Here is a 12,200-nt window from a genome sequence, read left to right on the forward strand (position 1 = left end):
AATGTATAGATTCAGTACTATTTCAATCAAACTACCATAGGCATTGTTTCTAGAATTTAAAAAAAAACTACTTTAAATTTCATATAGAACCAAAAAAGAGCCTGTATAGCTAAGACAATCCTAAGCAAAAAGAACAAAGCTGGAGGAATCATGCTACCTGACTTCAAACTGCTACAAGGCTACAGTAACCAAAACAGCATGGTACTGGTACCAAAACAGACTTATAGACCAATGGAACAGAACAGAGACCTCAGAAATAACAACCACACATCTACAACCATCTGATCTTGGACAAACTGGAGAAAAACAAGAAATGAAGAAAGGATTCCCTATTTAATAAATGGTGCTAGGAAGACGGGCTAGTCATATGCAGAAAACTGAAACTCGATTCCTTCCTTGCACCTTATACCAAAATTAACTCAAGATGGATTAAATACTTAAATGTAAAGCCTCAAACCATAAATACTCTAGAAGAAAACCTAGGTAATATCATTTAGGACATAGGCATGGGCAAAGACTTCATGATGAAAACCCAAAAGCAATTGCAATCAAAGCCAAAAGTGACAAATGGGATCTAATTAAGCTAAAGAGCTTCTGCACAGCAAAAGAAACTATCATCAGAGTGAACAGGCAATCTACCGAATGGGAAAAAACTTTTGCAATCTCTCCATCTGACAAAGGGCTAATATCCAGAATCTACAAGGAACTTAAACAAATTTACAAGAAAAAAACAAACAACCCCATCAAAAAGTGGGTAAAGGATAGGAACAGACATTTCTCAAAAGAAGACATTTGTGTGGCAAACGAACATATGAAAAAAACCTCATCACTGATCATTAGAGAAATGCAAATCAAAACCACAATGAGATACCATCCCATGCTAGTTAGAATGGTGATTATTAAAGTCAGAAAACAATAGATGCTGGTGAGCCCGTTGAGAAATAAGAACACTTTTACACTGTAAGTGGGAATGTAAATTAGTTCAACCATTGTGGAAGACAGTGTGGCAGTTCTTGTAGGATCTGGAACCAGAAATACTATTTGACCCAGCAATTTTATTACTGGGTATGCACCCAGAGGAATATAAATCATTCTAATATAAAGAAACATGCACACATATATTTATTGCATCACTGTTTACAAGAGCAAAGACATGGTATGAACCCAAATGCCCATCAATGATACATTTGATAAAGAAAATGTGGCACATATATACCATAGAATACTATGCAGCCAGAAGAAGGAATGAGATCATGTCCTTTGCAGTGACATGGATGAAGCTGGAAGCCACCATCCTCAGCAAACTAACACAGAAACAGAAAACCAAACACCTCATATTCTTACTCATAAGTGGGAATTGAAGTATGAGAACACATGGACACAGTGCAGGGGACAACACAAACTGGGGCCAGTCGGGGTATAGAGGGTGAGGGGAGGGAGAACATTAGGACAAACAGGTAATGCATTCAGGGCTTAAAACCGAGATGATGGGTTGATAGGTGCAGCAAACCACCAAGGCACTCGTATATGCATGTAAAACAAACCTACACATTCCGCACCTGTATTCCAGAACTTAAACTAAAATTTTTAAAAAAGAAAAAATCACACAATATTCAAAGTATATTATAAAAGTAGTTAAAATTCAATATACTTCTAGACATGGAAACACATTCATGATATATTGTTCAACCAGAAAAATCAGATTAAAACATGGAGTTTATGAAAAAAAAAAGAAACATGCACTCATATTTTCATTACCACGCCATTCACAATAGCAAAGACAGGGAATCAACCCAGGTGCCCATTAATGGTGGATTGAATAAAGAAAAGGTACTGCATATGCACCATGAAATACTACACAGCCATAAAAAGAATGAAATCATGTCCTTTGTGGGAACATGGATGCAGCTGGAGGCCATTATCCTAAGTGAATTAATGTAGGAACAGAAAACCAAATACTTCATGTTCTCACTTATAAGTGGGAGCTAAGCAATGAGTACACATGGACATAAAGATGGCAACAATACACACTGGGGACTACTAGAGGGTGGAGACAGGGGCAAGGGCTGAAAAACTACTTATTGGCTACTATGCTCATTACCTATGTGATGGGATCATTCATCCCCCAAACCTCAGCATCACACAATAAACTTGCACACTTATCCCCTGAATCTAAAATAAAAGCTGAAATTATTTTTTAAAAAGAAATAAAGATAAAAATACAGTAAAATTTTTTTGTATTATTAATTGATATAAAATATAACTGGTTAGGTAATAATAGTGGCAAAGTATTGAGTGATTATAGCACACACAGAGACAAGTGAAATGAATGACAGCAATATAATAGTGATCAGAGGGATGGAATGGGACTACTTTTTAAGAAGTACCTGCACTGCACATGAAGTGATATAATATTATTTGAAGGTGGAATTAGATTAGTTTAAAATGTATATTGAAAATTTTAGGTAAAACCAAATTTTTTAAGAAAGAATTATAATGGATACCCTGAGAGAAGAGATACAATGGAATCATATAAAATGCCCAAGTAAAATCAATGAAGACAGAAAAGGAGGGGCAAAAAATATACAAAGAACAAATATGGTTAATGGAAAACAGTTATAAGAATTGTGGATAATAATACAAATATGGAGAAATTACTTCATATCTTAATACTGTAAATATACCAATTAAAATATAGATTTTCTAAGTAGGTAAAAAGCAAAAAAAAACTAGGCCCAACTACGTATTGTCTACAAGATAACCACTTTACGAAGACTGAGGTAGGTTAAAGTAAAAGCATAGAGAAATAATACTAACCAAAAGAAAGCAGTAGTAGCATCACTAATTTTGGACAAAGCTGATTTCAAAACAAAGAAAATTATGAAGAATACATAGAAGCATTGCATAGTAATAAAGGGGCCAATTTCCACAAAGACATAGTCATTCTAAACATGTATACACTTGTCAACCAAGTATCAGGACACCTAAGATCAGAGGCTAAAACTGAGACAATTGAAAAAGAAATAGACAAATCCACTATTATAGTAAAAGATTTCAACACTTCTTCTTCAGTAATTGACAGACCAAACAGACAGAAAAGCAGTAAAAATGTAGTTGACTGGAATAACACTATTAACAACTTTATGCAATTGACATTTGTAGATTGCTTCATACAACAACAGCAGAATATACATCTTTTTCAAGCACAAATGGAGTATTCAACAAGATAGATTACACTGGGAACATTAAAACACACCCTTAAAAATTTAAAGGAATAAAATTCATACATAGTATGTTTTCAGAAAGTAATAGAAGCTAGAAATCAATAATCGATTGCTAAAAATCTTCAAATACCGGAAAATTAAACAATGCCCTTGTAAAGTAATACATGAGTCAAGGAGGGAGTTGCAAGAGAAATTAACAATATTTTGACTTAAATAAAAATGGAAATTCAACTTATCAAAATTTATGACGTAGTGAATGTTGTAATTGGGGAAAATTTACAGCATTAATGCATATATTAGAAAAGAAGAAAGATCTCAAATCAGTAACGTAATATTCCATCTTAAGTACACATTTTAAGAAAGAGAAGAATAATTTAAGCCTGAAGCAAGCAGAAGAAAATAAGAAATAAAAAGTAAAGCAGAAACCAATTAAAAATTGAAAATATAAAGAAAAGCAATAAAATCAAAAGCTAGGTTTAAAAAAAATTAATAGACCGGGCGCAGTGGCTCACTCCTGTAATCCTAGCACTCTGGGGGGCTGAGGTGGGCAGGTCACCTGAGGTCAGGAGTTCAAGACCAGCCTAACCAAAATGGTGAAACCTCGTTTCTACTAAAAATACAAAAATGAGCTGGACATGGTTGCTTATGGCTGTAATCCCAGCTACTTAGGAGGCTGAGGCAGGAGAATCTCTTGAACCCGGGAGGTGGAGGTTGCAGTGAGCCGAGATCATGCCATTGGACTCCAGCCTGGGTAACAAGAGCAAAACTTCGTCTCAAAAAAAAAAAATAAATGAATAAAATAAAATAAATTAATAAAAGTGGTAAACCTCTAGCCTAGCTAATTAAAAAAGACACAAGTTACCAATATTATAATTGATAATCAAATGTATTCTTATATTCTAACTTTTTTACATTGTGGTAAAAGGCTGCAGTATAAATATTGTTGACTTTTAGTAATTTCTTGAGGATGTCTTTCTCAACTAAATGTTATATCACTTCTTAAAGTGTTCCATAGATGTTTAAAATCAAGATTTATTCTGTGTTGACATGGTAGATAATTCTATATGCATATTTATACACACATATAATTTATTATATCTTTTTTATACTTGAAATGTTAACATAAATTACTACTTTTTTACTTCATATGTAATGCATTACTAATTTTACAAGTTTTTTTGCTTCTGACAGTATTATATATCTTGACATATTCATTTTATGTTTAGACTTTCATAATTCCTGTTTTTATAAACTATTTCCATTAACATAAAATGTTCTTGATTTTCCTTTGAATTGTATATTGCTATATAGTAATAATGCAAATTTTGCTTAAAACGTGAATGGTATATGAATGATACATGAAGAAAACTTATCAGTGTTTCATTTGTATTACATTCTGAAAATTTATATTGTCAGATATTATTTTGCCATAAAATAAAATTCTGTGTGATTTTTTGTTTTGCTAATAATCTCTCTTGTTCTATTATTCCAATCTAGTGGATAACTTTATGATATTTGGGCTTGTAATAGGCGATTTTGTGTTTGTTTGTTATTTTGTTTATCAACATTAATAGCATTTATCTAGGGCTTAATACAAACACCCCATTCTTAAACAATATATAAATATATAAAATAAAACAAATATTGCTCTTTCCAACTTTCACATACAATTTCGAGTGAATCTTTTGTACACATACACACTCATATGTGTATATATATACACATAAATATATATACAACACACATCCATAGATATAGGTATAATTGTGTAATTTTTAATGTAACATGCAAAATATATCTTTCTGACCCACATGGTAAATCAAGAACCCACATTATTTTTTGATTCTTTATCTCCTTTCAACATTTACATGGTTGCTGCTGTTGCTGCCATTCCTCAGATCCTGCCAACAATAGGCCGTACGAGGTGGAGAGAGCATGGAGGTGGCAGGACAATCTTAAAGCCTCCATTCTAGAAGTAGCATTCATCACTTCTGCTCACTTTCAATTAGTAAGAAAGAGTCATATTAAGGAGGTTGAGAAAGGGAAAACAGTTGGAAAGCCATGTGTCTGTCTACAGTTTGATTACTGTAGAAGAAAAGTAGAACACTTTTAAGTGAAAGGCCATGAGTATCTTCACATTCGTTTATATATTTATAAGTGCATGTGCATGAATATATATTTGGGACATAATTTAGAGATGTAATTAACAGGTCAAAATATGCATTTGGAAGTGGCACAGACACTGCTGAGTTGGCCTCAAACTATTTTTTATCTAATTACAATGGCATTAATATTGATTGATTCACCATTCAACACATGTGATGGTTAATTTTATATGCTAACTTGACTAGGCTAAGGAATACCCAGATACCTTCCAAAACATTATTTCTGGGTGGGTCTGTGAGACTGTTTCTGGAAGAGCTTATAATTTGAATCAGTAGACTGAGTAAGGAAGATCCACTCTTTCTGTGTAGTCTAGCATCATCCAATTCATTGAGGGCCCAAATAGAACAAAAATGTGGAGGAAGGGTGAATTCTCTCTCTCTCCTGGAGCTGAGACATTCATCTTCACCTATCCTTGGACATGGGAGCTCTGGTTCTTAGGCCTTCATACTCAAGCTGAATTATTGTATCAACTTATCTCGTTCTCCAGCTTGCAGATAGCATATTGTATGACTTCTAAGAGTCCATATTGCATAAGCCAATTCGCATAATAAATCGCATCTTATATGTCTATATATATGCCATTGTTTCTATTTCTCTGGAGAACCCACATCTTAATCAGCATTGGATACTGTCAATACTTTGACAATTATTTTACAATCTGACTATTGTATTTTAAATTTTGTATTTGCCTTTCTCTTATTATTACTAAGTTTGCCCCTTTCCTAATAGGTTTTGGCCACTAAAATTTCTTTTTCTATCAATTTCTTGTTTATATTTTTTAAGTTTTAAAATACCAGATTGGATGCTAAGAATGTATGCAAACTTGTTAAAACTATCTTTTATTAAAAATAAGGACATTTTCAAAATTACCCACCTTTTTTCTCCTCTACTCACCTCCAAATTTCTGTTAGCACTACTGGAATTTTTGATCTAAGGACTCATAATTAAGTAATCATTTTTTATTTTATGTGGTTTTTCTTCTAAAATTTATTTTTCTATTAAGCATATATACAAGTATTATTTCTAATTACTTTATACTTAAATAGTCTCAATCTCATTAACAATCATGGTATACTATGACTTATCAATACATAAAATGTTTATTTTGTAACTTTCATCCAGCTTTAGTGTTTTTTATGAAATATTGCTGGAAGGAAAACAGTGACAGGTCTTCTGAGTTATGTTACATCTAAAATGGCTTTTATGGGGGTTATAACTAAAAAAATTCAATTGGTTTTGTCAAGAATGATAAAGAATCTAAGATTTTACCCTTTCTGAAAGCTGACAAGTTAGGCTAGTCAGACTGGTGAAGTTTCCCAAATGCTGGTAAAACACACAATACCCCTGGGTCAAAAAAAAAAAAAGACCTTTATTACTCACAGAAATTAGAGTATCATAATTTTCTTGTACTGTTCCAGAGACCAAATTCTCATAACACACAGAAGAGAGGGCCAGGTAACTCTTGCATATGCAATAGATTGTATTATAGGAGAAGAGCAATGAATTTAGAAAGCCAAAATCTTTTAATGTGGAAAATGTGCAAACTGCCTTTTGCTCCAAAGGGAGACAATATTTCTATCTCTCAAAGCTGTTCACTACACAACCATCCTTGAAAAAATAGTCTGCAACAAAAGCAGTCAGTGGAGAAAATTATCCAGTGCTACATGTTTAATGTGAGTCCTAAGCAAGCCATAATTTTCTTCCTTTATAAATAACATTATTTCTTGTCATGATGCTTTTGGGATAGTTTTAAGCATTCTACATTTCACCAACCTATATCTAGGTATTAGTAACTTCTAATTAATTTTATCTAAATTTATAAATACTTGGAATTAAATAATTTATATCATTGTTTTCTCCTTTTGTATTAGTCCATTCTCATGCTGCTATGAAGAAATCCCTGAGACTGGGTAATTCATAAAGAAAAGAGGTTTAATTGGTTCAGAGTTCCACATGGCTGGGAGGCCTCAGGAAACAATCACAGTGGAAGAATCTCTTTACAGGGCAGCAGGAGAGAGAATGAGTGCCAGCAGTGAAAATGCCAGAGGCTTATAAAACCATCAGATCTCATGAGAACTCACTCACCATCACAAGAACAGCATGAGGGAAACTGCTCCTGTGATTCAATTTCTTCCACCTGGTTCCCCCCTTGACACATGGGGATTATTACAATTCAAGGTGAGATTTAGGTGGGGACACAGAGCCAAACCATATCATTCAACCCCTGGCCCCTCCCAAATCTCATATCCTCACATTTCAAAATACAATCATGCCCTTCCAACAGACCCCCAAAGTCTTAACTCTTTCCAGCATTAACCCAAAAGTCAAAGTCCAAAGTCTCATCTGAGACAAGGCTAGTTCCTCTCGTCTATGAGCCTGTAAAATCAAAAGCAAGTTAGTTACTCCCTAGATACAGTGGAGGTACAGGCATTGAGTAAATACACCCATTCCAAATGGGAGAAATTGGCCAAAACAAAAGGGCTACAGGCTTGATAAAAGTCTGAAATCCAACAGGGCAGTCATTAAGCCTTACATTTCCAAAATGATCTCATTTGACTCCATGCCTCATGTCCAGGTTATGTTGATGCAAGAGGTGGTCTCCCATGGCATTGGGCAGCTCCAGCCTTGTGGCTTGGCAGGGTACAGCCCGCCTCCTGGCTGCTTTCACAAGCTGGTGTTGAGTGCCTGCAGCTTTTCCAGGCACATAGTGCAAGCTGTCCATGGATATACCATTCTGGGGCCTGAAGGATGGTGACCATCTTCTCACAGCACCACTAGGCAGTGACCTACTGGTGACTCCATGTAGGGGCTTCAACCCTACGTTTCCCTTCTGCACTGCCCTAGCAGAGGTTCTCCATGAGGGCTCCACCCCTGCAGCAAACTTGTGCAGGGACATCTGGGTGTTTCCATACATCCTCTGAAACCTAGGTGGAGATTCCCAAACTTCAATTCTTGACTTCTGTGCACCCACAGAGTCAACACCATGTGGAAGCCACCAAGGCTTGGGGCTTATACCCTCTGAAGTAATAGCCTGAGTTGTACCTTGGCCCCTTTTAGCCATGGCTGGAGCTGAAGCACTCACTATCATGAGAACAACATAGGAGAAACTGCCCTCATGATTAAATTACCTCCACTTAGTCTTTGACACATGGGGATTTTTACAATTCAAGTGAGATTTTGGTGGGGCACAGAGCCAAACCATATCACCTTTTATTCTGGTATGATTTTTTAGATGCTTCTTTTTTTGAAACCTACATCAGACATTATATTCTTTGTCTTCCAAGTCTTCCTTAGTCCCTTTTATTGTTTCTATAATGTTATTATTTTTCTTTTCATATTATTAGAGAGTTTCAAAAATTTCCCCACACATTACTGATTCAGTTCTCTGAAAAATCTTGAAGCTTTATATTGTTCAATCCCATGCTAGGAGTAATGTTTCTTTTTCTTTCCTTTTTTTTTTCTTTTTTGAGACAGAGTTTCACTCTTGTCACCTGGCTGGAGTGTAATGGTGCTATCTCAGCTCAATGCAACCTCCAATTCCTGGATTCAAGTGATTCTCTTGCCTCAGCCTCCCAAGTAGCTGGGATTACAGGTGCCTGCCACCATACCCAGCTAATTTTTGTGTTTTTAGTAGAGATGGGGTTTCATCATGTTGGCAAGGCTTGTCTCAAACTCCTGATCTCAGATGATCTTGCCACCTTGGCCTCCCAAAGTGCTGGGATTACAGGCGTGTGCCACTGCACTCGGCCAAATGTTTCTGATGCCCTAAATTTCTCTGCTTAAGAAACTTGCCACACAAACCTAGCATTTCTGAACTTTCAAATATTGCTACTTGTTAGTGATATTGGAGTATAACATCTGATTATTGTCTATTTCTTAAGAGTGAATTTTGAGTGGACTCTAAGTGGTACATTTAGTTTGATCCTCTCTCCCACCCATATATCTACTTTTTAAAAACCTATCAAATTCTAATTTATTGCCCTAAATTTCTTGTAACATTAGGCATTCTTTCCTATCTCCACAATTTTAAAACGTTAGTCATTATTTTAATGGATACCTGTTTGGGGAAAATGGTGAGGAGGCAGGCAGAATTGAGATATAATATGAAAGTTAATTAAAATATTTGAATTATAAAAACAAATGAAAAACCAAGCCAATTTCAAACTTCTCACTAATAGTAATTCTCAGAAAGAAATGAACCTTTGTAGCAGCACTACAGTGGTGTGTAAGAACATGGGCTCTGCTATAAAATCTCAATCCAAATCCTACAAGTTATTAGCTTTATGACCTCAGATGAGCTATGTATTCTTTCTATGTGGCATCACCAATAAATTAGGACAATTATTAATACCTGCCTCACTGGATGAAAGAGTAGCTTAAATGATACTAAATACATAGACCACATAGCACAACACATCATAAATACCATGTCTTATTAAATATAAGATTTCAAGGGTGGTAAGGCACACCATTATTTTATCTACTACTAGTAAGACACAAAAGACTGCCAATTAAGCAGTGACATATGTCTTAATGATAATCCTGAGTGACAATCCATCACACCAGCTTCTCATTTGCTTTGAAATTAATTTAACCTACACCAAGGTTTTGGCAGTTTCTTATGTTTTCAATTGCATTCCTCTGAATGTTATAGGCAATATTTGTTCACATGTACCTATAAAATAAATAATTAATCGCGTGAGTCCTCTAGGGTTTTGTCCTTTCTTTGATAACATAAATCATGTTGTTTAATCGTTCCAAAAATACAAAAGAAGTATAATCATTCTTCCAACAATGAATGTGCCTGGATTTACATCAAATTATGTCTTTCTTCTGATCTATGACATTTTTATTTTCAACATCTATATATTTAACTAATGAAATGTGTAATTATTTAGAAGGCATTTTATATGGCATTTAAACTCAATATATACAATAACATCAATGCATATACTTAATTAAAATTATGACAAAAAATTGTGACCAAATTTGTGCATGTGTAACAAAACTGTCATAACTGTGCCACCCCAAATTGATTGTGTGAAGCTATTAATTACAAGTTTCATCAAAATTTCAGAGATATTCAAATATGAAAGAATGTACATTTTAAAATTGGTGGAATATTCTCAGTAAATATCAATTTGTATTATTGCAGATCATTGAGAGTGAAAGTTTGTGTTCATAAATATCCTGTACTCATTAAAATTTGTATCTTTTTGAAAAGCATCAGAAATATGTTCTGATGAGCAAAAACTCAAAAAGTGTACCTAGCACATACCAGTTTTTATGAAACAGATTACCTGAAAATTATAATCTAGGATAAAACAACTGTGGTACAGCCATACAATGGAACATTATTTAATAATAAAAGAAGAGATATCAATCCGCATGAAAAGACATGGTTGAACCATAAATGCACATTGCTAACTGAAAGAAGCCAGTATGAAACAGTGGCATACTGTGTGATTCCAATTAAGTGTCCTGGAAAAGGTAACAAACAGTGAAAGTGGAAAGATCAGTGGTTACCAAGGGAGCAAGGTGAGGAAATTTGATTAGATAAAGCATAGGCTATTTCTTCACGGCAGTGAAACAGTTCTTTATACTACTGTAGTAGTGGATACATGGTATTATGTATTTATGAAAATTGATAGAATGCTACAGTACAAATGATGAAAATAAAATATTTAGGGGGTCAAGGATCTCAGGAAGGAATGCATACTGTGATTAGAAAACCCTCCTGTATTGCAAATTTGTGAAATAATCTCACTACAGAGGATAAGTTGAAAGGTCTTGACGTAAGTAACTTTGAAAATGAGTGGAGTCTACACAACTAAAGACAAAAGGAACTGTGCATAAGTACTCTACTGTAGTTGATAAAATTGTTTCCCATAATGGTATTGGTTAATTCTCATATTGCTACACATGTATGTGGAATTGAAAAATCAATAAAATGGATCATGGATCGTGGAAGCCTGATTTCTTACTGTTGCAGCAGAAATTTACAGATAAGCAAGGGGAGGAGCCTCTAGAATTATCCATGTGGTAATGAGTTAGAGCTGGAAACATCAGTATAAACTCATATAAAGTTTAATATTGATATTGATGGTTCCATACAGAAATACTTATAAATGCCCAGGCCTTTTCAAAACTGCCAAGCAGATAGTCAGGGCCTGTGAAGTGTGCCAAACAAACAATTCCCTGCACTGCAGGCTGTACATTTCAATCCCTGTATCTTTAACCTCCTTATTAAATTTGTCTCTTCCAGAATCAAAGCTGTAAAACTACGAATGGTTCTTCAAATGGAGCCCCAGATGCAGTCCACAACTAAAATCTACTGTGGTCCCTTGGACCGGCCTGCTAGCCCATGCTCCGATGTTGATGACATCGAAGTCACCCCTCCTGAGGAAATCTCAACTGCACAACCCCTGCTACACCCCAATTCAGCAGGAAGCAGTTAGAGCAGTCATTAGCCAACCTCTCCAACAGCACTTGGGTTTTCCTGTTGAGGAGGGGACTGAGAGACAGGACTAGCTGGATTTCCTAGGCTGACTAAGAATCCCTAAGCCTAGCTGGGAAGGTGACCATGTCCAGCTTTAAACATGGGGCTTGCAACTTAGTTCACATCTGACCAATCAGAGAGCTCACTAAAACGCTAATTAGGCAAAAACAGGAGGTAAAGAAATAGCCAATCATCTATTGCCTGAGAGCACCAAAGGAGGGACAACGATCAGATATAAACCCAGGCATTCAAGCCAGCAACGGCAACCCCTTTGGGTCCCCTCCCTTTGTATGGGAGCTCTGTTTTCACTC

General features: G+C 35.2%; 1 long non-coding RNA gene across 2 annotated transcripts in view; it reads left to right on the plus strand.

Moving 5' to 3' along the window:
- LINC02161 (long intergenic non-protein coding RNA 2161) overlaps positions 1 to 11,915 on the plus strand; it is a 213,063-nt gene extending 201,148 nt beyond the window's left edge. For both annotated transcript variants that reach the window (XR_948556.3, XR_948557.3), the window contains exon 3: positions 11,656 to 11,915. This is a non-coding gene — a long non-coding RNA (long intergenic non-protein coding RNA 2161). The remainder of the gene's footprint in view (positions 1 to 11,655) is intronic.
- The last annotated feature ends 285 nt before the right edge of the window (positions 11,916 to 12,200 follow it).

Source organism: Homo sapiens, chromosome 5 (genome assembly GCF_000001405.40).
Source record: "Homo sapiens chromosome 5, GRCh38.p14 Primary Assembly".
Classification (NCBI taxonomy): domain Eukaryota; kingdom Metazoa; phylum Chordata; class Mammalia; order Primates; family Hominidae; genus Homo; species Homo sapiens.